Genomic DNA, 26,591 nt, shown 5'->3' on the forward strand with positions numbered 1-26,591 from the left:
AAGCTTCCAGATAAACCATCCAAGGGTGAAGAGGCCATGTGTGGAGGAGGAGGGAGGGAGCAGAGTTCTGGAAAATTTAGTCGAAGGTAACAACAGGTGGGGCATTGGCTTTTAGTGTGGCTGGGCTGCTTGGAGCAGTATTTCATGTTTCTGTGGCAGGGCGGCATTTGAGGATGCATCCAGGCAAGCGGCCAGGAGTGCCCACGCTGCCTTTGTGGCCCGGCGCTGGCTGTATCCCCTCAGGCAAGTCCCTGGACTCCTTAGGGCTCAGCTCCTATGCCGGACTAAAGTCCCTCCAGGCTCCAAAGGCCTGTTCCTGAGTGTGCCAGTTCTGGTCTTTCCGCATGAAGTTCAGTGCTCTCCCGAGGGGTGGGGACCAATGCTGTTGGGGGAAATTGTCAATCGCAGCTGCTCGAAGGGTGAGGAAGGATCCCTGGAAGGAAGCCTGGTTAGGGCTTGTAAAACACAGTCCCCTGGCTGAGTCCCTCTCCTCCCCACTCCACACCCAGTGAGGCTTCTGCATCCACCTCTAGGACCCTGACACCGCTGATGTCCTTTGGACCAACACAGCGTGTTACGAACTTAGGACAACACTTAAAAATCTGAAGATTTCACCTGAAAGTTAGAACTTCCAGCTCCTCTTAGCAGGTGGGCTCTGCTGGCATGGAGTTTGGCTGCTTCGTTGGGTGGGTCCCCTTTGCCACAGTCCCCACCATTCCCTGTTGTCCTGGGACCCTCAGGGGTTCACCCGTTTGGGTGTCTGCCAGGCACCCAATAATAATTAATTGGTTATAATTATTGGTTAACAGGCACTCTATTAATAATAAAGAACTATTTCAAACAATTCACAGTTTTAATTTCATTTTGAGACGGAGTCTCACTCTGTCGCCCAGGCTGGAGTGCGTTGGCTCGATCTTGGCTCACTGCAACCTCTGCCCCCCAGATTCAAGCGATTCTCCTGCCTCAGCCTCCCGAGTAGCTGGGATTAAAGGTACCTGCCACCGCACCAGGCTAATTTTTGTATTTTTAGTAGAGATGGGGTTTCACCATGTTGGCCAGGCTGGTCTTGAACTCCTGACCTCATGATCCACCCACCTCGGCCTCCCAAAGTGCTGGGATTACAGGCATGAGCCACCGTGCCTGGCCAGTTATAGTTTCTAATATGGCAAACATAAATAGCTATAATCCACATGAAGAAAAGCTCTTTGAGATCACCAATAATTTTTAAGAGTGGAAGGAAGGGTTTGTGATGTCCCTGTCACACACACATGCACATATGCACACACAAACACACACACGAATGCACACAAATGCACCTACACACCCCCCCACGTGCAGGGACTCAGGGACAGCCAGTTCCCATAGACACAGCTGGGGAGCTGGAGCCTCAGCCTAGGCTGTCCTTGGAAGTAGGTGATGAGAAGAATAGGAGAGAGTGGGGAAATATATTTGAATTCTCCCTCTCCTAAGCCTCAGCCCCCGAGCGGAGCCGGAAGGGAACCAACTGAGAGTCCCAGCATGAGAGATGTTTCCTGGAGCAGTTTCAGCTCTGGAAGAAGCAGGAATTCTCTTTCCTTCCCTTCATGCCCAAATTCCTTTATTCCAGGCTGGGCACGGTGGCTCTCACCTGTAATCTCAGCACTTTGGGAGGCTGAGGCAGGTGGATCTCCTGAGGTCAGGAGTTCAAGACCAGCCTGGCCAAGATGGTGAAACCCCGTCCCTACTAAAAATACAAAAATTAGCTCGGTGTGGTGGCAGATGTCTGTAATCCCAGCTACTCAGGAGACTGAATCAGGAGAATCGCTTGAACCTGGGAGGCGGAGGCTGCAGTGAGCCAAGATGGTGCCACTGCACTCCAGCCTGGGCAACAGAGCAAGATTACTCTGTCTCAAAAAAACACTTCCCTTATTCCACAAAGCCTAATGTGCCCCCACACCCAGGACGGCAGAGTGGACCAAGAGGGATCCTTCCCTCTGGGGAGCTCCCTGCCAACCACCTGCTCCTTAGGAGAGAGGAGAAAGAATTAGACGATGGCAGTCCCAGGCTTGGGCAACCCTCGGTGCCTGGAAGTGGAGGAAGGGATTAGGGCAGGCTTCACGGAAGAGGTGGTCTCGGAGTAGAGTCTCAAAGGCTGAGTAAGCGTTTGCTGGGCAGAGAAGGAAGGGAAAGGAATTCCAGGCCTAAGGAGGGTCACATGCGAAAGTCAGGAGGTTTGAGAGGGCCCATGTGTCTTGGAGGTGATGGGACCAGAGCTTGGGGATGTGATAAAGGGTGAAGACAGGAATAGAGGCTGTCGGGGCCAGAGCCAAAGACTGAGAGCAGCGGTTCCCAAAGCATGGTGTGGGGGATCCCTGAGGTCCCTGGGGCCCTTTCAGCGGCCGTAAGACCCTGCCCTTTCGAACCACTTATCCCATGTGGGGCTGGATTATTCCCATCCACTTCCTCCCAGACAACCCTTCGCAGCAGATTCACGCAGAAGCGGCTCTGACCAGGTGAAGGTGCGGACATCAGAGATTTGCAAAAACGCAAAACAGTGCCGCCCTGCTCACCACATTTTTGTTATTGTTTTGGAAAATGCATTTCTTTTTCATTAAAATTGTTATTTTATGTTAACATACGATGGGCTTATTACTGATATTTTAAAATAACTATTAATAGTAAAGAACTATTTCAAAAACTATTCAGTTTTAGTTTCTAATATGGCAAACACCAATAGCTGTAACCCACACGAACAAAAGCTCTTTGAGATCAACAATAATTTTTAGAGTGGAAGGGGGTCCTGACACAAAATGGACAGGGAGTTTTTCAGGCAAGTCAGGGCCAGTGGAGAAAGTGAAGTGGGGACGAGGCAGGATGATGTTCCTGGCAGGGAAACTAGGGGCTGGAATTATTGCTCTTTTATTTTTATTTTTTATTTTTTTATTTTTTATTTTTCTGAGACTGAGTCTCGCTCTGTTGCCCAGGCTGGAGTGCAATGGCGCGATCTCAGCTCACTACAACCTCCGCCTCCCAGGTTCAAGCAATTCTTGTGCCTCAGCCTCCCAAGTAGCTGGGATTACAGGCGCATGCCACCACCCCAGCTAACTTTTGTATTATTATTATTTTTTTTTTTAGTAGAGATGGGGTTTCACCATGTTGGCCAGGCTGGTCTCGAACTCCTGACCTCAAGTGATCTGCCCACCTCGGCCTCCCAAAGTGCTGGGATTACAGGCATGAGCCACTGCACGCTTCTGGTAGCTCCAGGCATTCCTGGTTCATGGCCGCATCGCTCCAATCTCTGCTTTAGGCTTCACACGACGGCTTTCTCCTCTTCTCTCGGTGCTTCTTTCTGATATCTCTCATAAGGACATGTATCATCGGATTTAGAGCCCACCAGATAACCCAGGATGATCATCTTGAGATCCTTTACTGAATTACATCTGCAAAGAAGCTTTTTCCAAATGAGGTCATATGCACAATTCTGGTGTTTAGGGTTGGACGTATCTTTTGAGGAGACACCATTCAATGCACCTTCTTTTTCTTTTTTCGTTTCTTTTTCTTTCTTACTTTTTTTTTTTTTGAAACAGGGTCTTGCTCTGTCACCCAGGCTGGAGTGCGGTGGTGAGATGTCGGCTCACTGCAACCTCTGCCTCCCAGGTTCAAGCGATTCTCCTGCCCCAGCCTCCCAAGTAGCCGGGATTACAGGCGTGCGCCACCACACTGAGTTGATTTTGTATTTTTAGTAGAGATGGGGTTTCGCCAAGTTGCCCAGGTTGGTTTCAAACTCTTGGCCTCAAGCAATACACCAGCCTCGGCCTCCCAAAGCGCTGGGATTATAGGCATAAGCCACCGTGCCTGGCCTTCAACCCACTATACCTTCTTAGGAAGAACAGTGGTCCAAACCAGTTACTGGCTTCAAATTAATCCAGCTGGAAGACAATCCCAACAGGAAGCAAACAAGATAAACCTAGACAGGGTGAGCCTGTATTTCCAAGCATCCTTTAATTCAAGATGCTGGGTTATTTCCAAACCTGCCCCTGTCTCTGTTCAATCACCAGCTCACCAGCCCTGTCTCAGGAAAATGATGATTCATTGGCATAGAACTGGAAGTACTTACTGACCTATCAGGGAGGGAGGGAATTGTTTCTTTTGTCAATACCTTGGAAGAGGAGGCATTTATCTTTCAGCAAACAGGGAAAGCCTAAGCTGCTTTCAGTGCTATAAGGCTAAATGTGTGCAAGACAATTAATTGTGTGATTACAGGGCCATGGTTCTAATGATCACAGCCTCATTATTAGAACATCTTTTCCGATTTCCTGCCCAGGGTGAGCAATCTCTGAGGAGTTCCCTCCCCTGTCCAGCTATCCATCCACATCACAGAAAGTTGATTCCAAGTGGATACCAGCCATCAGTTTGGCCTGCCAGTAAGACACCTCTCTTTCCTTGGCTACTTCCCAGATGGCGGTGGTTTTAAAAAATATATTGCAATGATTAGAAAGATAGTGGAAACTTATTATTACAGGTAATCTTGAAGAAAGGGAATGGCCGTATTCCCTGTGAAAGGAAAGTATCTTTGGCCCCCAAAATCACTAAGGAAAACTCAAGCTGGAAACTGCTTAGGGCAAACCTGCCTCCCATTCTATTCAAAGTCACCGCTCTGCTCACTGAGATAGATGCATATCTGATGCCTCCTTTGGAAAGACTAATCAGAAACTCAAAAGAATGCAACAGTTTTTGTCTTACTTATCTGTGGCCTGGATGCTCCCTCCTGGCTTTGAGTCTTCCTGCCTTTGCTTCCAGTTGTCCCACCTTTCCAGATTGAACCAAAGTACTTCTTACATCTATTAATTGATGTCTCATGTCTCCCTAAAATGTATAAAATCAAGCTGTGCCCCGACCACCTTGGGCACATGTCGTCAGGACTTCCTCGGGCATGTCCTCAACCTTGGCAAAATAAACTTTCTAAATTAACTGAGCCCTGTTTTATTTTCTGGGTTCACATCCCCCATCCTAACATGACTGTTAGTTTTTGCTTTGGGCTTACCTACAATCATGTACGGAATAATGACATTTTGGTTACTAACAGACCACATCTATGACAGTGCTCCCATAAGATTATAATGGAGCAGGTGGGGTGGCTCACTCCTGTAATCCCAGCAATTTGGGAGGCTGAGGCTTAAGGATTGCTTAAGCCCAACAGTTCGAGACCAGCCTGGGCAACATAGTGAAACCCCATGTCTACAGAAAAAAAATGAAAGAGAGAGAGGAAGAAAAGAAAGAAAAGAAAGAAAGAAAGAAGAAAGAAAGAAAGAAAATTAACATTTTAAATTTTTATGTATTTTCTTATTTTTTTATTTTGAGACAGAGTCTCTTTCTGTCACCCAGGCTGGAGTGCAGTGGTGCGATCTCGGCTCACTGCAACCTCTGCCTCCTGGGTTCAAGCGATTCTCTTGCCTCAGCCTCCCCAGTAGCTGGGACTATAGGCGTGCACTACCAGTCCAGCTAATTTTTTTTTTTTTTTTTAGTAGAGACGAGCTTTCACCATGTTGATCAGGCTGGTCTCGAGCTCCAGATCTCAAATGATCCGCCCGCCTCGGCCTCCCAAAGTGTTGGTATTACAGGCGTGAGCCACCGCGCCCGGCAGTAATTAACATTTTTAATGACTGCCTAATAAGCTGCTTGTCAGTATATCACAATTAAGGTATTAGAAAGGACTCATGACTGGGTGACAGAGAGTAAACCCAAACAAGCTTAAGAAGAAGAGAAACATTCATTAACATCCACAGTGGAAAAGTCAAGGGTGGCACTGGTCTCAGGCATGGCTGGAACCAGGTGTCCAAATGACAATGCTGGGACTCTGTCTCTACCTCCTGGCTGCTTTCTCCAGGGATGGCTTCATTGTCAGGCAGGCTCTCCCCAAGAGGTAGCAAAAATGGTTGCCAGCAGCCATTGCTTATAAAATACCAGCTAAGCAACCTCGTAGAAAGAACACCTCCTTTTCCCAGGAGTCCCAGCTAAAGTCCTGGGCTGACTCTTATTAGAATAACTTAGATCATGTGACCACCTCTGGACCAATGTCTGTGGCCAACAGGGGATGCCATGCTCCCATTGGTCTAGCCTTGGTCATGTGGTCTCCCCATATCCAGTCAAAGAATGGCAATAGACCCTTCCAAACCACATTGATTGTGGAGGGGAGGCAATTACTTAAAGTCAGATTGGGATGCTGTTGACAGAAGAAGGGAGAATGAATGCTTGGCAGGAGGAACACAGATGTCTCTCCTGCTCACTGAAGGTCTAGAACTCCCCTCCCCAGTTTCTACTGTGACACATGATGCAGTAGCTGTGGGTAGAGCGTGACTCCCTTCTCCATCCCACGGGGAGCAGCTTGCTCTAGGCGCTTATATACGGTGCCTCCACATGGGATTTTGTTTGAGGATAGGATTCCACGGCTTAACAGCATTTGAAAATCAGTGGCCATAGTGTGCCCTCTAGCTCCAAGTGGCTGAGAATCCATAACCTTAACTTTATTCCTCTTCTGGAACCGGTTGAGATGCTTCTTCTTGTTCTTCTCTGCTCTCCTTCTCTTTCTAGACTTTTCCCTTCCTCCTCTGCACTCCCCACTCCCACAATGGGCATAGGGGCCAACAGATAGGTGGTGGGACTGGAGAGATGGTATCAGGACAGGCGCAGGGGCCTCCACTCCAGCTCTTCCTTTTCCTTCCATTAATCCTGCCCAGTCAGACCCACTCTACCCCATCCTCTCCCCTCTGGCCCAATGGGAACAGCTCTCCCAGGCCCACTGGGACTCAGGCAGTTTGGGTGAAACCAGTTAGCACCTGCCCCTGACCTTTCTGGTAACTGAGCACTCTGCCCTGGCCCAGGTCCTGGTCATCCTGATGGATGTGTTCACGGATGTGGAGATCTTCTGTGACATTCTAGAGGCAGCCAACAAGCGTGGGGTGTTCGTTTGTGTGCTCCTGGACCAGGGAGGTGTGAAGCTCTTCCAGGAGATGTGTGACAAAGTCCAGATCTCTGACAGTCACCTCAAGGTAGGGGCCCCAATGAGAGTCCTAAGGGTACTCATATTAGCCCAGATAGGATAGTCTATGCAATAGTAACAAATGTCCCTCATCTTGTGTTAATAGCTTAACACAATAAAGGTTCATTTCTTGCTCAAACAAACTCCTATGTAGGTCAGATGGCCCTCCTCCATATTGTAGCTACATCATGAGAAATACACGGCCTCTAAGATAACCATGACAGGGAAAGAGAAGGCTGGGAGACTCTGCAGGATGTTTCCAGGATCTGACCTGGAGGAGATTTCCATCGCTTTCTCTTATAACTCATTGACCTTACCCAGATGCACGGATGCTGGGAAATGTAAAGGGTCATGGGTATCTGGTGAGCAGCATCTCTGCCATGTACTCCAGTTCTCCTCTCAGCTGGGGAAGCCCAGGGATTGCATCTTACAGGGCAGGCAACCTCCAGGGTCTGTGGGTGCATGTTCAGAACTCCCTGGTCCCAACAAGACATTGATCCTCTTGGACTTAACTGAACCCCGTACTTCCCTCTCCTGGCAAAGAGAAAAGAAACCCAGCGATAAGGGTTTGATTCATCACATAAATTTGAGGACAACTAATTCAAATGTGAACACCACCCATAGCTTTCATGAGTAGGCCTGGGTGAACAGCTGATTGGTGGCCCTCAGAGTTCTTTTGATCAGTCTCCTCTAGTTCAGGCAAGAGAGGTTCTGTCCTCTGGGAGAACCTCCCAGATAAGAATGAAGCCTCCTCCCTCCCTCCCTTCCCCTCTGCACAGATGCAGCTGAGTTCAGTGCTGCCTCCTGCTGCCACAGGCCTTGGGACCTCTGGCTGCTGGTCTGTTTGGCATGACGTAGATCATACCTCCTTGGCACGAGGCCATTGAAACAGGTCAGAAGTGTCAGAACTGGCCTTGCTTTCATGGCCTATGCTGGCCACACCTGACAGTACTCTGCTCACCATAGGACAATGGTGTCCCTCCTCTCAAGATCTCACAGAGCTATGGAGAAGCCCAGGGGAAGCGGCTGGAGGCAGGACTGCCCTTCCCAGGACCTGCCAAGCCACCAGCAGTCTTTTGAGGAATCCAGACAGTATTCCACCTCCCTCAGCCTTAACCCTGAGACTCCCACACTTTACCCACTCTTCCATTTCTCCAGCCTTCCAGCTGTACGGCGGGAGCAGCAGGTGCTACAGGGAAGACAAGGGATAAATAGAGCCATGGTAGGGTTGCAGACTCACCTTTGCTTAAGACAATACAGGGTCTATTGCTACCTCCACAAAACCACCTCCTCTGGCTGCACCGAGCCTTCCCTCTGAACAGCTTAGGGTCAGGGACTCAGGTCAAGCCACTTACAAGGCAGGGCTGGGCTTGCCTCCAAGTAACTGCCAGGCCACCTGTGGCTCATGGGGGCCTAGACTCGGGGCTCCATAGGCATTAGGCCCTTGCTTTTCTTTTATTTGCTGCCTTATTTGAATTCTACCACCTTCCTTTTTTTTTGTTGCCAGCTGATGCCAGGACAGTGAAGACAATTTAGACAATTCAGCCCAGGGAAAATATTAATATGGTCCAGAATCCCACCAACCAGAGATAACACATTTCCATCTTGATGAACATTCTACCAGACATTTTCATGCACAAATTGTCTTAGTCCATCACAGCTGCTATAACAGAAGTCCATAGACTGGTGGTTCATAACAACAGAAATTTATTCCTCATGGTTCTAGAGGCTGGGAACTCCAAGATCAACGTTCTGGCAGATTCGGCGTCTGGTGAAGCCCACTTCCTGGCTTATAAATGGCTGTCTTCTTGCTGTGTCCTCACATGGCAGAAGGAGTGAGGCAGATCTCTAGGCCTCCTTTATAAGGCACTCCTCCCATTCATGAGCACTCCATCTTCATGACCTAATCTCCTCCCAAAGGCCCCACCTTCTAGTACCGTCACCCTGGGGATTAGGTTTCAACACAGAATGGGGGTAAAGGGAACATAAACATCCAGCCTAAAGCCCAAATGTATCTCTATAAACAGAATTAGGAAGTGACACCTTGACTTTCCCTCCAACAGAACATTTCCATCCGGAGTGTGGAAGGAGAGATATACTGTGCCAAGTCAGGCAGGAAATTCGCTGGCCAAATCCGGGAGAAGTTCATCATCTCGGACTGGAGATTTGTCCTGTCTGGATCTTACAGGTGAGCCTTGGATTCATCTCCTGTCAAGGATTCATGGAGAACAAGGGCTGAGTGAGGTGCAGACCAGCTCCCGCTGCTCAGACACAAACACCCCCAGCAGCTCCCAGAAGGTCTCCCTCTGCCCGGAGCTGGAGCTGCATCACATAGATGGGGTGAGAGGCAAGAAATGTGGACCCTTTCTGGCAAGAATTCCAGGTAGAGAGGCATTTCCAGGTGCCTCCGTTTCCCTTGATATTGCAATAGGACGTAGAATCCTCTTCTTTTCCCTCCTCGGATATCTTAGACGTGATTATAAAGTGATGCAATTTGTTTAGTTGTGTGTGTGCACATCCCATTGCTTTTTTTTTTTTTTTGAGATGGAGTCTCGCCCTGTCACCCAGGCTGGAGTGCAGTGGTGCAATCACAGCTCATTGCAACCTCCGCCTCCAGGATTCAAGAGATTCTCCTCCCTCAGCCCCCCAAGTAGCTGGGATTGCAGGCACCCGCCACCACGCCCAGCGAATTTTTGTATATTTAGTAGAGACGGGGTTTCATCATGTTGGCCAGGCTGGTCTCAAACTCCTGACCTCAGGTGATCCACCCATGTGGCCTCCCAAAGTGCTGAGATTAGAGGCGTGAGCCACTGCACCCAGCCCCGTTTTATTTTTTAAATTTTTATTATTTGCTCAAGCAACCCACCAGCCTCAGCCTCCCAAAGTGTTGGGATTACAGGCATGAGCCCCTGCGCCCAGCCTCAATTTGTGTTTAGACCCTCACACATAGACTCCTACATCCAAATGACTGACCACCCATTTATTCTAACAATGCTACCTTGCCTGAGTCTGCCTTTGAAACTTGACTTCAGAGCTTAAAAGATATTCTTTGAAATGTTCTCAGTGGCGGCGCTAGGGAAGTGGATTTGATGGTGGATTTTGTGAGAGGGATGAAATGAGAGAGCAATTGAGGAAGGGAGGAACAGCCGAAGGTCATTTGGGAACATTTGTTTAGGAAGGTGATGAGTGTGACAGAGAGTGCAGAGGAGGGCAACTGGTTACATCTTTTCTTGCTTCCTCTGCTGCAAACACATAGTAGTGACCAGTGAAATATGAGCACAAACATTGGGATAAGCTGGGAGTGGAAGGCAGGTTTCCAGGGGGTGTTAAGGATGCAGTCTTTCCCCAGGGAGCAGGAGCCCGCAATGCTGTTCCAAAGCTAGGTGAAGCCAACTGGCAAATCTCTAGCCAGAGACAAATGAGCATAAAGGGAAAGAGAGAAGGGAGGGCGGAAAAACCCCTACATTTAAAATGTGCTATCTTTCTTTAGCCTTATTAGTGCCGTTTAGCTGAAATTCCACTTTTAATGATATTAACATTGCTACCTCCAGTCTTCCTTGGGCTTAAATTTGTACAGTGTCTTAGTCCATTTGGGCTGCTATAATAAAATCCCATAGACTGGGTAGCTTATAAACAATGGAAACCCATTACTCACAGTCCTGAAGGCTGGGAAGTCCTAGGTCAAGGTGTGGGCAGATTCAGTGCCTGGGGAAGGCCCACCTTCTGTCTCATAGACTGCTGCCTTTTCACTGTGTGACACAGTGAAAGTGTATCTTTATCCCTTCATGGTAAAAAAAAAAGGTGAGGGAGCTCACTGGGGCCTCTTCTGCAAGGGCACTAACCCCATTCCTGAAGGTTCTACCTTCATGACCTAATTATGCCCCAAAGGCCCTACACACTAATAGCATCACATTGGGGATTAGGATTTCAAATATGAATCTGGAACAGAAACAGACATTCAGTCTACAGCACAGAGTATAACTTTCTCTCCATCCCATTATTTTCAAACTTGCTGATAGATTTTAAGTGTGTCTTTTGTGAACAACATATCATTAATTTTTGTTTTTTTGAGACGGAGTCTCGCTCTGTCACCCAGGCTGGAGTGCAGTGGTGCAATCCCAGTTCACTGCAACCTCTGCCTCCCAGGTTCAAGTGATTCTCCTGCCTCAGCCTCCCTTGTAGCTGGGATTACAGGCACCCGCCACCACGCTCGGCTAATTTTTGCATTTTTAGTAAAGATGGGGTTTTGCCATGATGGCCATACTGGTCTCGAACTACTGACCTCAGATGATCCACCCACCTCAGCCCCCCAAAGTGCAGGGATTACAGGCATGAGCCACCGCTCCCAGCCTCATTAAAGTTTTTAAAAGTATAGTTTTATCATCTCTGTCTTTTAATAGGTCTAATCCAGTTAGTTATTGTGATTGCTGATGTATTTGGATTTATTTCTAATATTTACATTTTGACTTTGCTTTGCTTTTCCCCTTTTGTGTTTGCAGTTGAATGGAGAGGTTTTCATATTACTTCTTTTTTAGATAGCTCCTTTTTTTCTCTGCTTGCTACGAAGCTTAATAATTTATATTTTTACTCTTTTCTTTTAATGGGACTCCTTCAGTTTTTAAAATACTTTACACATTTTCCAAACAAAGTCCAAAATTGTGTGATAATTCTCCTCTCTTCCCAAATACAACAAGGACCTTCCTGCACTGTTTTTCGACATTTTGGTTCCTATTAAGTTCGTCAAGGCTATTTCACCGTAAGGCACAGAAAATCTACTTAAACTGGCTAAGTAAAGGCAGAAGGGAGGGGGTGTTGTAAGGCTGTGGCAATTAATCTCAGGCACAGCCAAGGGCAGGACCAGGGGCTGCCAGGCCTCCCCAAGTCTGGGAAAAGCTAGGGTAAAAGCTGCTCACTCTGGCTTTCATGGGTCCACAGGCCTGTTGTTTAGCTACTTTTCCTGGTTCTCTCTCCTGCCTCATGGATTGTATAAGTTAAATCTGACCTCCTCATCCCTAAACTTTGGGGCTGCCCAGCCCAGCCCCCACCACCATCACCCCTGGTCCAACCATTCTGTCAGCCCAGATCACCCACCAGTGGATGAGCTGTCTCTGAGTCTGGTGTCCACCCCTGAGCCAGTTACCTGTGGCTGGGGCAGGGGTGGCAGAAGGGAACTTGGCATGTGGCAAAAACATGGCTGCCCTTCACTCAGGCCTAGGGTGGGGCAAGTTTTCAGAGAAGAATCTCTAAAATATGTCATTCCGTCCTCAAACGTTATAGAATTTGAAGGTAGGAGAACAAGGCTATGGGAAAAAAAGAGAATGTGGCTTAGGAGGCACATTCACACAAGTGCAGTTCACACCTTCCTTCCCAGCTTGCCTTGAGGTCTGGAATGTCCTTCATAGCACCGAGGGTCCCCATGTAAGTGCCTGTCTCATGTAAATGGAATTATCATTCAATATGTGGCATTTTGTGGCTGGCTTCCTTCACTTAACATAACGTTTTCCAGGCTCATCCGAGCTGTAGCGTGTTTCAGTGCTTTCTCCCTTTTCATGGCTGAGCAAATATTCCATGGACAGGATGGACCACAGTTGGTTTATCTGGTCACCAATCAATAGACATTGGGTTGTTTCCCCCTTTCGGCGATTGTGAATATTAGCTGAGGAATTCTTGCAGCGCTCTTGACACTCCATTTCAAGGCACACATTCTTCCCTGGGGAACTCAGGTTTTGCATCACTAAAGGGAAGAAGGAGGTTGAGCCAAGGGCTAGAATAGCTGAGGATTCCCGAAGAAATCAAAGAACAGGTGCAGTTTGAAATCAAAGAACAGGTGCAGCTGAGCTGTCTCCTCAGTAGCCCCAAAGCACATGATACACTTTAAAGTGATCTGGGCCGGGTGCAGTGGCTCACGCCTGTAATCCCAGCACTTTGACAGGCCAAGGCGGGTAGATTACCTGAGGTCAGTAGTTTGAGACCAGCCTGGCCAACATGGTGAAACCCTGCCTCTATTAAAAATACAAAAATTAGCTGGGCATGGTGACAAGCACCTGTAATCCCAGCTGCTGGGGAGGCTGAGGCATGAGAATCACTTTGAACCTGGGAGGCGTAGGCTGCAGTGAGCAGAGATCGCACCACTGCACTCCAGCCTGGGTGACAGAGTGAGACTCTCCCTTAAAATAAATAAATAAATAAATAAAGTGATCTGAACTTCAGTAGATCAAGGTTTGGATGTTTTTTAAAAAAAGTCTTCTTACCCGGAGGCTCTTATCTATAATGTCCTGCCCCAAAGTTCAAGATTAGGCAATTATTTTTGAGAAACGTTACGCCCTCCCAGGACCCACTAGCTGCATTGCACACGACCATGGGGCAGTTATCTCTGTGGAAAAAAGGAGAAGGCCTGGGAACACAGGCATTTGGAAACAAAGATGTAAAGATAAAAGGCTGAGAAACAAGTTCTTATTATCTGTGTGCATGATGAAAACTGATGAAGGAGCTTAAGCGACCGGGAGGGATTTCAAACATTTCAGGGAGATCAGAACTGCGCTAGGAGTGGGGGCTTCCTCCCTCTACCAAATGGTGTCAAATGCTGGGCAGATTAAGCTGAAACACATTCCCAAGATAAACTTCCCTTTAACACCTTCAGGAAAACAGAATGTCTGTCTTCAGCTTCTCGAAATATGAATTGTTCCACCCTCGAATCCTCAAATCCATATCATTTCACTTTTAAACCAAACAATATCTCATACATTATGCTTTCTCCTAGAAGAAGAATAATTTGAATGTGTTAGGTCGTACCCCACTCTTTTTTTTGAGACGCTCTTTTGCCTAGCGTGGTGGTGGCGTGATCTCGGCTCACTGCAGCCTCAGCCTCCTGGTTCAAGAGATACTTCCACCTCAGCCTCCTGAGTAGCTGGAATTACAGGCGTGCACCACCACACCCGGGTAATTGTCTTGTATATTTAGTAGAGACGGGGGTTTCACTGTGTTGGCCAGGCTGGTCTCGAACTCTTGACCTCAATTGATGCGCCCTCCTCGGCCTCCGAAAGTGCTGGGATTACAGGCGTCAGCCACTGCTCCCAGCTTCTATACCCAACTTTTAATAGCTGTGTACCTGCCATCTCTCTGGGCCTGTTTCCTCATCAGAACAAAATGGAAAACAATAACGCACTCCATTTGTATTAGAATTGTTGTAAAATTAAGTAAAACAGCAAGTGTAAATACTTCGCTGCTGGGCATCTGAGATGCACTAAAAAAAGGTCACTTGAGAGTGTATTGTTAAGACATTGGTATTACTTATACTTTCAAATTTATTTTGATATTAATAATTATAATTCCAAGCAGGGTCTGTTTGAAAAGGATTCGTGAGTTTTACCAGGCAGGCCGTGATTATTACTGTTACCAGCATTTTTATGCTTAACTAACATTGGTCTGTTGTATAAAGTGGTTTGACCTCACTTTCCAGTGGGTTTCTGTGAATTAGAAAAGAGCTATCATTGACCAGGCGCGGTGGCTCACGCCTGTAATCCCAGCACTTTGGGAGGCCAAGGTGGGCAGATCACCTGAGGTCAGGAGTTCGAGACCAGCCAGACCAACATGGAGAAACCCCATCTCTACTAAAAATACAAAATTAGCCATGTGTGGTGGCCCATGCCTGTAATCCCAGCTGCTCAGGAGGCTGAGGCAGGAGAATAGCTTGAACCCAGGAGGCAGAGGTTGCGGTGAGCCAAGATTGCACCATTGCACTCCAGCCTGGGCAACAAGAGCGAAATTCTGTCTCAAAAAAAAAAGAAAGAAAGAAAGAAAAGAGCTATTATTATGAAAGTATACTAATTTTTTTATTTGTGAAGCATTATTCCAGGAAGTAAGGGCCCTTCCTGTGTGTTATCCTTCTGCAGGGTTTGTTAGAGGGAAAGTGCTGGAAAACATGCCTTCCCCCAGCCCTCAACCCTTAACAGCTCTCAGCCCCGCTGCCCAGCCCACTCTCCAACTAAAGAAGCCAGCAGAGAAGTCTGAAACCATTTCCACACAAGACAGATGGGAGTGGAGTTCATCTCTCCCTGTCTTATGGGAGCTACTGGGGAATTAAAATGAAAAACAAAATCTTCTCTCAGAAAACTTCCCTACGAAAGTAGAAGTGAAGGAAAACAATTGTGTTATCAAGTAAGCATTGGACCAGAATATGATGCACATGATGGGCAACTCACTACAGAGACAGCAGGCAGAACAAAACCTCTCTTTCATATAGCAAAGTGGATCCAACCCATTACAGTAGGGAGGTTCTGCTTGTGGAGTCAGAGGACAGCTGCAGTCAGGCCCACCTTCTTCCAGAACACCGGAGGATGGAGTGTGATTTACATACAGCTAAAATTTTTGAAGTAGAAAAGGAAGAAGGGGAAGGTCTCTTCCCTTATTTTCAGTGGGAAGAATTAAGCATCTCATCTTTAATTTGCACTTGCCCTTCCAGAGTCCATCACGCAGCTGGGGGGCCCTCGCCCTGGGCAGGGGCAGGAGGAAGCAGAACTAACATTGCTGAAGGATGTCAGGGACTGGGCCAGGTGTGATCAGAACTTTAATAAGGGCCAGGTGTGGCGGCTCATGCCTGTAATCCCAACACTTTGGGAGGCTGAGCGGGGTGGGTCACTTGAGGTCAGGAGTTTGAGACCAGCCAGGTCAACATGGTGAAACCCCATCTCTACTAAAAATATAAAAAATCAGGAGGGGCGCGATGGCTCACACCTGTAATCCCAGCACTTTGGGAGGCCGAGGCGGGTGAATCACCTGAGGTCAGGAGTTCGAGGCCAGCCTGGCCAACATGGCAAAACCCTGTCTCTACTAAAAATACAAAAAATTAGCCAGATGTGGTGGTGGGTGCCTGTAATTCCAGCTACTTGGGAGGCTGAGGCAGTAGAATTGCTTGAACCTGGGAGGCAGAGGTTGCAGTGAGCCGAGATCCACTCTAGCCTAGGTGACAGAGCAAGACTCTGTCTCAAACAAATAAACAAAAAAAAAAAATATATATATATATATACACATATATACAAAAAAAAAATTAGCTGGTGTGGTGGCACGTGCCTGTCATCTTGGCTACTAGGGAGGGTGAGGCAGGAGAATTACTTGAACCTGGGAGGTGGAAGTTGTAGTGAGCCAAGATGCACTCCAGCCTGGGCGACAGAGTGAGACTGTCTCAAAAAAAAACAGAAACAAAAACAAAAACAGACTTTAATAAGGATTTAATCTTTATGACAACACTTTGAAGAAGGCATCATCCTCCTAATTGACAGAAGTGGGGTGGGGGATTTAGGCACAGAGAGGGGAGGCAACTGATCCAGGGTCACCAGCTTCCTTGACTAGGGTCACCAGCTCTCCAATCCCTGTGAAGCTGAGGGCTGGGCTTGTTAGCCTGATGTGCAGCCCAGGAGGAAGGCTGCCACAGCCGGAATACATGCAGGGCCGTCTGTGTTTACTGTCATTCCTGAGAGCTGTGGAGGAGCCAGCTCCTGGAGGGAGAACAGGACACCAACAGTGATTTTGCCCTTGACATTCAAAGGTGACCTGCTTACTAGCCTTTCAGGGGATCATCTTCACTGGGACCAGTCTCCCCTTAGAGTTGTTTCCAGTAAAAACAAAAACAAACAAAGAAAAAAAACCAGAAGAGGCCATTTATCCCTTTCTTTTAGCCCCGCTACCTGGGGGCTTCAGATATTTTGGCCCCTTCTTCTGGTTGTATATGGTTCTCCCAAACTGAAGAGCCCTGCTTCCTCCGCTGAGGCTAGAGGGCTGAGGTTGTGCATTTCAACACTGAAGGGCTGGTTGAGGGTCTGACCCCAGCATAGGTGCCATGCCAGGGCCATCAAGAAAAATTGCTGAGTGGCCAGAGTGGATTGGTGTGTGTGCTCTGAGATCAGCAGGAGCTAAGGAAGTGCTCTGGGGTCAGCTGAGAGGGAGCCACCACTTCTGCCTAGCAGGTCCAGGAGGTCGGTGCCATTGGCTGGAGTTGGGCCTTGAAGGATGAGAATTATTCAGCCCTGGTGGGGAAGAGGCAGGCAAAATTGGGCATTGGGAACAGGATGGGGAACAACAGCAAGACATCATCCTGGCTTCTAATTGGCCTCCTGCCCCGCCCCCACTGCCATCCATGGGTTTTCTCTCCCAGGAACAGAAACACAAACCAGATCAAACCACTTTAAAATCCTTCAGTACTCGCCACTGCTCCTAGGAACAACAACAACAACAAAAATCTACATCCTTACCAGGGCCTCTATCTCAGTAGGATCCCCCCACTCCTCCACTGTGTTGGAGCCACACTGGCCGCTTCCTCAGTCTTTCATGCTCTTTCGAGTCGCAGGGCCTTTGCACTTGCTGTTCATGCCCTCCGTCGGAGAGCTCATTCCTGCTGTCTCTATCTTGCTTACTCTTTATCTTGTAGGTGGCAGCTTCCAGATCATTGCCTCAGAGACCTCTGATCACCACCCCGAGCCCTCTTATCCTCTATGGCTTCACTCCCATCATGATTTGGAATTATTTATTTGTGAACTTGATTAGCCGAGATTGTAAATGACATGAGGTCAGGGACTGGACTGGGTATGTTTTCTTCTCTGTTGCTTTCCTGGCATGAAGTACAGTAAATACAGCACCTGATACATTATACATGGCCACAAATATTTGTTGAATGAATGAATAAAAGCACATTGGGTTCTGACCATTCAGTGTCCTGAAAGAATGCAGTTTTTCAAACTGTGCCTCACCATCCATTAGCGGGGTGTGAAATCAATTTAGTAGATGATGTCTAGCATTTTTTTTAAATGACACGGAATAGAATAAAAATAATCAGACCACGCTGAGGTAAAGGATGTTCTGGAAATTATTGTGTGGTTATGTACTTGTGGGTCATGATGTTAAATGTGCTTTTCCAAGAATAGCCAAGATAAATCCGAAAAAGAAAAACAAGCAGGGACGACTTGCCCTACCAGAGTTCAGAACTTGTCATGAAACTGCAGTAATCAAGACAATGTGTCATTGGAGGAGGGACAAATTGACACACAGAACAGAAAGCTCAGGCACATATTCACACACCACAGGGCATGACAGAGCAGTGGGGAAAGGAGGAACTGGAAAAAATAACTCCCCGTATGTAAAATGGGATTACTACCCACCATGCACGCATTTGTTTACAAATCGACTTGCAATAGTTGAAAAGAATTTGAATGTTGAAAATAAACTAAAACTCTCAGTAGATTTCTTTAAAAGGAAAACATACACACATTAAAAAAAAAAAAGCAGTGACCATAAAAGTTTGCTTAATCTGACTATATTACAATTAAGAATGTTGGTTCATTGAAAGACATCTTGGCTGGGTGCGGTGGTTCACATCTGTAATCCCAGCACCTTGGGAGGCAGAGGAAGGTGGATCACCTGAGGTCAAGAGTTCAAGACCAGCCTGGCCAACATGGTAAAATCCTGTCTCTACTAAAAATACAAAAATTAGCCGAGTGTGGTGGCACGTGCCTGTAGTCCCAACTACTCGGGAGGCTGAGGTGGGAGGATCACTTGAATCCAGGAGGCAGAGGTTGCAGTGAGCTGAGATCAAGCCACTGCACTCCAGCCTGGGGGACAGAATGAGATCTGTCTCAAAAAAAAAAAAAAAAAAAAAAGTAAGAAAAGAAAAGAAAAAAAGAAAGACATCTTAAAGGAAGTGAAAAGTCAGTTACAAACTGGAAGCAGCTATTCAAGATGCACACCCCTGACAGAGATTAGTGCTGAGACTCACAAGAGCACAAGAGCACAGCAGAAAAGTGGGTGGGAGACATAAGCAGGCGTTTCACCAAAGAGGCAACATATGGTTAAAAAAACAAAACAAAAAATTAGCCAGCATTGTTGTAACCCCAGTTACTTAGGAGGCTGAGGCAGAAGAAGCGCTTGAACCCAGGAGGCAGAGGTTGCAGTGAGCCGAGATCACGCCACTGCACTCCAGCCTGGGCAACAAGAGTGAAACTCCAACTCAAAAAAAAAAAAAAAAAGGACAAAAAAAAATTCTATAATTATGGAAAAAGGAAAGCAAGGGCGTTATGATCACAGGATTCATGATGTGCTGAGTTCTAGTTCAGGGGTCCTGGGAAAGGGATGCAAGAAGGGACCCTATGGCTAGATGTGGACTATCCTCAAGATGCTACCTTGGCCAGGTGTGGTGGCTCATGCCTGTAATCTCAGCACTTCGGGAGGCCAAGCAGGGAGGATCACTTGAAGCCAGGAGTTCAAGACCAGTCTGGGCAACATAGCAAGATCCCATCTCTGCCCCCAAAAAAATTTTTTTAAGAGAAAAAATTTTTAAAAAAGATGTGACCTTTTCTTTTAGGTAGTGGGTTCATAAGTGCTTACTATATTACTTAAAATCACCAATTAAATAGTTAAATAAGTGAAAATGGGTGATGAATAGACCAATGAGTAGAGTTTGGTCATGAGCCAAAGATGATTAAGTGAATGCTACGTACTTATGGGCCAAACAACAATAGAAATAAAATGTATTGGCCGGGCGCAGTGGCTCACGCCTGTAATCCCACCACTTTGGGAGGCCGAGGCGGGTGGATCACGAGGTCAGGAGATCAAGACCATCCTGGCTAACATGGTGAAACCCCGTCTCTACTAAAATACAAAAAAATTAGCCGGGCATGGTGGCGGGCGCCTGTAGTCCCAGCTACTTGGGAGGCTGAGGCAGGAGAATGGCTTGAACCCAGGAGGCGAGCTTGCAGTGAGCCGAGATCGCGCCACTGCACTCCAGCCTGGACGACAGAGCCAGACTCTGTCTCAAATAAAAAAAAAAGAAAGGAAACGCCTCTCTGCTCATGGGCTGTGATCAAAAGTATAAAAGCTAAAGCATGGCCAGGTGCAGTGGCTCACATCTGTAATCCCAGCACTTTGGCAGGCCGAGGCAAGTGGATCACAAGGTCAGGAGTTCAAGACCAGGCTGGCCAAGATGGTGAAACCCTGTCTCTACTAAAAATACAAAAAATTAGCCAGATGTGGTGGTGGGCACCTGTAATCCCAGCTACTCTGGAGACTGAGGCAGAGAATTGCTTTAACCCAGGAGGCAGAGGCTGCGATGAGCCGAGATCACGCCACTGCACTCCAGCCTGGGCGACAGAGCAAGGCTGCGTCTCAAAAAAAAATTTTAAAAGAAAAGAAAAAAAAAGCTAAAGCATGAGATGCGCGGGTGTGCAGGTGTGGCGGGGCTCTGGGGCGGGGCACAGTGCAATCGGGGACACAGGTGCTGGGGACCTGAGGAGTTGCCAGGAAGTCTTTGGACTTGTTCTTTGGACTTGTTCTTGTTCTGTTGAGCAAAGCAGCAGCTATGTTGCCCCATGCAGCCTGATTCAGACAACAGAGGGCGACTGGCTTCTGAGTGCAGTGCGGCCCTTTGTCCCTGCGCTTGCCTCCTGTCCCGTGGCGGGGCTGGCGCTTGGCTCGGCATCAACTGCTCACCTCTCTGGGGGTGTGGGTGGTTCCCGGCGGGAGGTGAGATTTAAACAAAGCCTCATTGCTGTTCCCAGGATTATCCGAGCCTTGTGCGGCCCCGCCCTGCCTCACAGAGCAGGGAACTCCCAACCCTGGGCTGAGGCCAGGCCTTTGGGTGGCAAGACAGGTGGGCTGGGGGCTGGGGGCTGCGATCCTATCTTTGACGGGCCCGTTTCTGCTTAGCTCTGGCGCTGTCCCGGCTCGGCGACCATTCCCCCGACCATCCTCTCCCTCTTGCTTCAAGTTCACCTGAGCAGGAGCCCAGGAGCCTCTAGCCTGCTGCTCTCGGGAGGTCTATGCTGTTACCAGAGTTTCAAGCATTGAGGGGGCGGGGGGAGAAACGAAAGGAGTTTTCCATCGGAAACAGAAAAGAGTTGGGGTTAAATCTGGGAAACAGGCCGGGCGCGGTGGCTCACGCCTGTAATCCCAGCACTTTGGGAGGCCGAGGCGGGCGGATCACGAGGTCAGGGGTTCGAGACCAGCCTGGCCAACATGGTGAACCCCTGTCTCTACTAAAAATACAAAAATTAGCTGGGCGTGGTGGCGGGCGCCTGTAATCCCAGCTACTTGGGAGGTTGAGGCAGAATAATCGTTTGAACCTGAGAGGCGGAGGTTGCAGTGGGACGAGATCGCACCATTGCACTCCAGCCTAGGTGACAGAGTAAGACTCTCAAAAAAAAAAAAAAAAATCTGGGAATCATACAAAGTAATAACTGCCTTAGGCATTTTGTTTTTCCCTAAAACCTGTAAGTGGTGGCCCCAGGCCTCTCCTTGAGGGTGTCTTCCACCACCCCTCGCCCCGACAGCCTCGGCCCCGTGTCTGGGTGCTTCCTCCATAAACCACTCCTGTCAGCGTCAACGGGAGGCGCACGGTGCTCCTCCTCCACTCATCCCTGCTGGGTCCCTGTGCCTGAAAATGGAGCCGAATCCTCTTTCAGGAACGCTTTAGATTTTCGTGAAAACACAGTCCGGCTTCCCAAGAGCAGCCGCCTTTTGCAGGGGCTTTCCCGACCCCTGTGTGGTTAAAGGCGCGCTGGCCCTCCACATTCCACAGGTGGAGACGAGAAGGCCCCGGCTGCTGGGTGACTACCCTAAGCGCAGACTCTGGGGGCCTGAGACTCAGCTCCCTTCTGCCTCCTCAGGGAGCCTCTAAGGGGCTGCAATCTGAGCACCAGGAGGGAGCCTTGAGACCAGGGATTCGCTCTGGCATCTTAATTATTCACCCGCAAACACATTCTGGCCCCTGAGCCTCAGTTTTGTCGTCTGTAAGAGAGGTGTCGCAATGTCTCTCTCTCAGGGTTTCTGCCAGGATGAAATGAGCCCAAGAGGAGGGGCAGTGGGCATGGGTTGGTCCCCTTCCGTCCCTGCCCCGAGGGGACCCACAACTCCCAGACTGGTCCCCCAGGAGGATCTTGGGGCCTGGGCCGGCGAAGCCTCCTATCTGTCCTCCTCCTCCTCCTCTTCCTCCTCTTCTTCCTCCTCCCCCTCCCCTCCTTTTCCTCCTCCTCCCCTTCCCACTTCCCTTCCCCCTCCCCTCCTCCTCTTCCTCTTCCCCCTCCCACTTCCCCTCTCCCTCCTTCTCCTTCCTCCACCTCCTCCCTCCCTCTTCCTCCCCTCCCCCTCCTCCTCCACTTCCCCTCCCCATCCTTCCCCCTTCTCCTCCATCACTCTCTCTCCTCTTCCCCTCCAGCTTCACCTGGCTCTGCGGACACGTGCACCGGAACATCCTCTCCAAGTTCACAGGCCAGGCGGTGGAGCTGTTTGACGAGGAGTTCCGCCACCTCTACGCCTCCTCCAAGCCTGTGATGGGCCTGAAGTCCCCGCGGCTGGTCGCCCCCGTCCCGCCCGGAGCAGCCCCGGCCAATGGCCGCCTTAGCAGCAGCAGTGGCTCCGCCAGTGACCGCACGTCCTCCAACCCCTTCAGCGGCCGCTCGGCAGGCAGCCACCCCGGTACCCGAAGTGTGTCCGCGTCTTCAGGGCCCTGTAGCCCCGCGGCCCCACACCCGCCTCCACCGCCCCGGTTCCAGCCCCACCAAGGCCCTTGGGGAGCCCCGAGTCCCCAGGCCCACCTCTCCCCGCGGCCCCACGACGGCCCGCCCGCCGCTGTCTACAGCAACCTGGGGGCCTACAGGCCCACGCGGCTGCAGCTGGAGCAGCTGGGCCTGGTGCCGAGGCTGACTCCAACCTGGAGGCCCTTCCTGCAGGCCTCCCCTCACTTCTGAAGGTCCCATCCCCTGCTGCCCTCCGCAGGCCCAGGGCTGGGCACTCCCTGAGACCCAAAGACCCACCTCAACGACGAGTGGCGTTGAGCCACTTCCCTTTGAAAAGACACTCAAAATCACTGCCATGGTTCAATGTTCCCAGGCCCCAGGCCATCCACTTGCCGGCCCCCACCAGTTCTTGGGTTCCCCGCTCTAGTTTGACCTGTGCAGCACATTCCAGAAGGTTCCAGGGAGGTTGTGGGGCAGCTAGAGGACAAAATCATGAAAACAGAGTCCCTGTCTTCCAGAGATCATCCGGGGCTTTAATATTAATGGCCCCCAAAACTCCGTAAGAAGCAGGAAATGCAGCCCAAGTTTTACAAATGGGTAAACAGAGGCACTGAGAGATAGATGGTAGTTTGGTACTTCTGGTTCCCAGTGCCCAGGAATGGTCCACTCCCAAGAAATTCAGGAAAGAAAGACTGAGGAGAAGGTGTGGGAACATTCTGGATGTTTCGGGAGAGTTGGGGAAACTCCTCCTCTTAGGAAAGGCTAATACTAGGGTATCCTTGGGCCCAATGAATTAGGGGTGAGGCCCCAGAACCCGTTATCTATGAGTTGTATGGGGGAGCCATCTGAAGCTGTAGCCACCAGGGATGCAGCTAGCTGAGGAGTTTGGGGTGTTGGGTTGGACAAGGCAGGTTAGTAGACTCAGATTCTTGCTTCAAAGAGCCTTGGGCTGGCCTGGAGGTCCCTGGAGTCTAGACTGGACCTAGGAGCTTGAGTTGTCAGGGGCCAGGACTGGCCCCACTGCAGTGCCCAGGCCAGTCTTGAGCAGCAGGGAGGGCTCAGCTGTCCCCAGATCCAGGTGCCTCTGACCAGCCTGGTCACCTCCTGAGGAATAAATGCTGAACCTCACAAGCCCCATCATTCATTTCTTCTCAATTCACAGTGCCCCTCTTTGTTTCTGGGGTGGAACTAGGTCCTGAGGGCACAGCCTAGCTGAGTGCAAAGAAATATAGGATGCTTAGAAAGCATACAGGAGGGGCCAGGCGTGGTGGCTCATGCCTGTAATCCCAGAACTTTGGGATGCCAAGGTGGTTGGATTACCTGAGATCAGGTGGATTACCTGGTCTCGAGACCAGCCTGACCAATATGGTGAAACCCCGTCTCTACTAAAAATACAAAAATTAGGCTGAGACAGGAGAATTGCTTGAACCCAGGAAGCAGAGGTTGCAATGAGCTGAGATTGCATCACTGCACTCCAGCATGGGCAACAAAGCAAGACTCCGTCACAGAAAAAAAAAAAAAAAAGAGAGAGAGCATAGAGGAGGGTTGGCCAGCCCTGTGGTGGGTGGGATGTCAGAGACACTTCCCAGATAAAGTAAGAGTTAACCCTGCACCTCAGGTGTGATAGTGGGGTCAGTGGTATGTGATCCAGGCTGGGGAGCCAGAGGGGAGCAGGTGCCAACTCCACATCCTTCTCCTGTTTCTAGGCCCTCTCCTCCCTTGTCGGTTTTTGGCGGGGAAGCTCAGCCTTCGCTGTGGAGGGACGAGAGCACAGAGCTCTTCCTCCTGGTGGCCTCTGACCCCTGACGGCCTGTGGCATCCTCCCTAGTCCCCTCTGCCCATCCATCCCTCTGTTCCAATTCTCCACTGCTCCCAGCATGATCTGGGGCATCTTGGCTTCTGGTTTCTTTTATTATTATTATTATTATTAATTATTGTATTCCTGTCCTTCACTTTTTTCCTCCTTAGTTCCTGAAAGTAAACAAAACAAAACAAAAACAAAAAAACAAACAACACTTTGGTTCCTGATGGCTTTCTGAACCCAGCCCTGACCTTGTTGTTTCACAGCTGACGGCTGAGATGAGGTTAGAATGACTGGGCCCGGCTGAACATTCCAAATTGGATTTCACCATCTGCTGAGAAAGTTTAAGGAAGGCAAAGCTTGCCAGGTCACAGAAGCTCCCAAGCCCAGCTTTCCAAAGGCCTCAGCCTGTGCCTGTGTCGAGCTCAGTCCTGGGAGATAGGGGAGAACCTGCAGGCAGGAACAAGCCCCCCTACTCCTGACCACCCTCCATCAGCAGTCTCCCCTCCGTGGTCGTCTTTGTTGACAAAGGTGCAGTTTCTCCTCTCCTGGGCACCTGTAACATGTGATGCGCTGCCTGCTGGGAGGTTAGGTCGGGGCTGCCCCGGCGAGTGGAGCATGAGCAGAACCGCCGAGGGTCACTTCTGGGCAGAAGCTTTGAGAGCCTGGGTCCAGGTTGCCACATAGAAGCAGCTCTCCAGTTGAAACCCTCCTCTGCCAGCCTGGGGTCCTAAGCGATGAGCAGAATCCCCCACTCCCACCCCACCAACCCACAATGGATATGTAGTGAGCAAGAAATAAACCTTTGTTGTTTAAGCCACTGCGATTTGGGGATTGTTTCTTCCTGCACCATGATCTAGCTTTGCCCGAGTGATACAGCCTCTGAGACCCCCCAACTCCAGGCTAGGCCATTGCTCTGGATTCCCAAGACCCCCCGACACATACACTATTTCCACCACAGGATTAGGGGTGGTTTGACACACCTGGCAATTGTCTATCTGAAAGCTAGAAGAAGTCTTTATCCAACTTTCAAATCCTACAAAACCGGGTCACGTTCCATCTTTAATTCTGCTCTGGGTTATAATCACACCTGTACCTCCCTCACTGCGGCCTGCTTGCTAGAGTGTCACTCCGTGTCTTTAAACATATGGAGTCTCTACTACAGTGTGAATTTCAACAGCTGCAGCTTAGCATCTCTTATGTGCCAGGCACTGTGTCAGCTCCGGAGAGGGCTGGGAGGGACCTTCATGTGAACAGCCACCATGAAGAACATGAGAGAATGAAGAAATACTATGATCTTCATGTCCTGGGGTACCTCACCTAAGGTCAAACACATCCCCCAAACCAGGGACTTTGGATCATAGGACCTATCTACAGGACAGTCAGCCAACATGGACTGAGGTGTGGGTTGCTAATGATCAACGCTGCTCCTCAGAGCCCCTGTCTCCTAGGAATGATCTGTTACCTGCACTTGGTCCTCATCAGATACTGCTCTCCTGTCTCTCCATTTACATCATAAGAGCCCAGAGACCAAAGGTATCTCTCTGGACCCACAGGTCCAGAGCTACATTGGTGCCACAGACAGTCCAAGGGCACAGTCAGTCCTCCCTGGTTGAACACTGGTGAGGAGCTTTGCTCCTACAGGGGAGACGAATAATCAGATACCCCAGACCACCTTCACTCTCTGTCCCTCCAGAATGTAGGGGAGGAAGGGCTGCCTCGCCTTCACTTAGTCTTCGTGCTGACCCTGCTAGCCTGTCATGAAAATGTCAAAGCAGCTTCTTCAAATAATTCACTTTTTTTTTTTTGAGACAGTCTTACTCTGTCGCCCAGGCTGGAGTGGCGCGATCTTAGCTCACTGCAACCACTACCTCCCAGGTTCAAGCGATTCTCCTGCCTCAGCCTCCCAAGTAGCTGGGATTACAGGCGCCCGCCGCCACATCGACTAATTTTTGTATTTTTTGTAGAGATGGGGTTTTGCCATGTTGGCCAGGCTGGTCTCAAACTCGCGACCTCAGGTGATCCACCCACCTCAGCCTCCCAAAGTGCTGGGGTTACAGGCGTGAGCCACTGTGTCCGGCCCAAATATTTCACTTTCTGAACTTGATCCAAAAAGCCGGTGGACACAGAGAAACTGTCACTCACTTTCCTAGCTTCCTCTTGAAGAGTGTCTCTGTGTTGGAACTGTTATTAGAGGATGTAAATACTGCAGACACACGTGCAAACATAAACACAACCTCCTCTTGCTGTTGTTCACTGTATTTCGTTTGACCCA

General features: G+C 49.3%; 1 protein-coding gene and 1 long non-coding RNA gene across 8 annotated transcripts in view, besides 2 other annotated features; one reads left to right on the plus strand and one right to left on the minus strand.

Moving 5' to 3' along the window:
• FAM83A (family with sequence similarity 83 member A) overlaps positions 1-25,137 on the plus strand; it is a 31,033-nt gene extending 5,896 nt beyond the window's left edge. The window contains exons 3-6 of one of the 7 annotated variants that reach the window (NM_207006.3): positions 6,861-7,028; positions 9,082-9,206; positions 22,215-22,474; positions 24,484-25,136. In NM_207006.3, the coding sequence (NP_996889.1) occupies positions 6,861-7,028; positions 9,082-9,206; positions 22,215-22,474; positions 24,484-24,554 (624 nt within the window). In that variant the 3' untranslated portion in view covers positions 24,555-25,136. Of the gene's footprint in view, positions 1-6,860; positions 7,029-9,081; positions 9,207-14,910; positions 16,886-17,441; positions 17,718-22,214 lie in introns of those variants that run through there. The other 6 variants (NM_032899.6, XM_011517338.3, NM_001394396.1 and 3 more) reach the window with 6 other exon arrangements.
• Positions 12,319-13,063: an enhancer, noted in NCBI's record as "OCT4-NANOG-H3K27ac-H3K4me1 hESC enhancer chr8:124209501-124210245 (GRCh37/hg19 assembly coordinates)". NCBI's record gives its function as "activates a minimal SCP1, AML or CMV promoter by ChIP-STARR-seq in naive H9 embryonic stem cells {active_cell/tissue: H9 hESC(naive)}" and the evidence as "EXISTENCE:reporter gene assay evidence [ECO:0000049][PMID:30033119]".
• FAM83A-AS1 (FAM83A antisense RNA 1) lies at positions 16,230-17,801 on the minus strand. Its single transcript, NR_024479.1, has 3 exons — positions 17,266-17,801; positions 16,702-17,040; positions 16,230-16,512 (listed from the first exon to the last, which is right to left on the minus strand). It is a non-coding gene; the product is annotated as an FAM83A antisense RNA 1 (long non-coding RNA).
• Positions 22,295-23,047: an enhancer, noted in NCBI's record as "H3K27ac-H3K4me1 hESC enhancer chr8:124219477-124220229 (GRCh37/hg19 assembly coordinates)". NCBI's record gives its function as "activates a minimal SCP1, AML or CMV promoter by ChIP-STARR-seq in naive H9 embryonic stem cells {active_cell/tissue: H9 hESC(naive)}" and the evidence as "EXISTENCE:reporter gene assay evidence [ECO:0000049][PMID:30033119]".
• Positions 25,138-26,591: the final 1,454 nt, after the last annotated feature.

This window comes from Homo sapiens, chromosome 8 (genome assembly GCF_000001405.40).
Source record: "Homo sapiens chromosome 8, GRCh38.p14 Primary Assembly".
Lineage (NCBI taxonomy): Eukaryota > Metazoa > Chordata > Mammalia > Primates > Hominidae > Homo > Homo sapiens.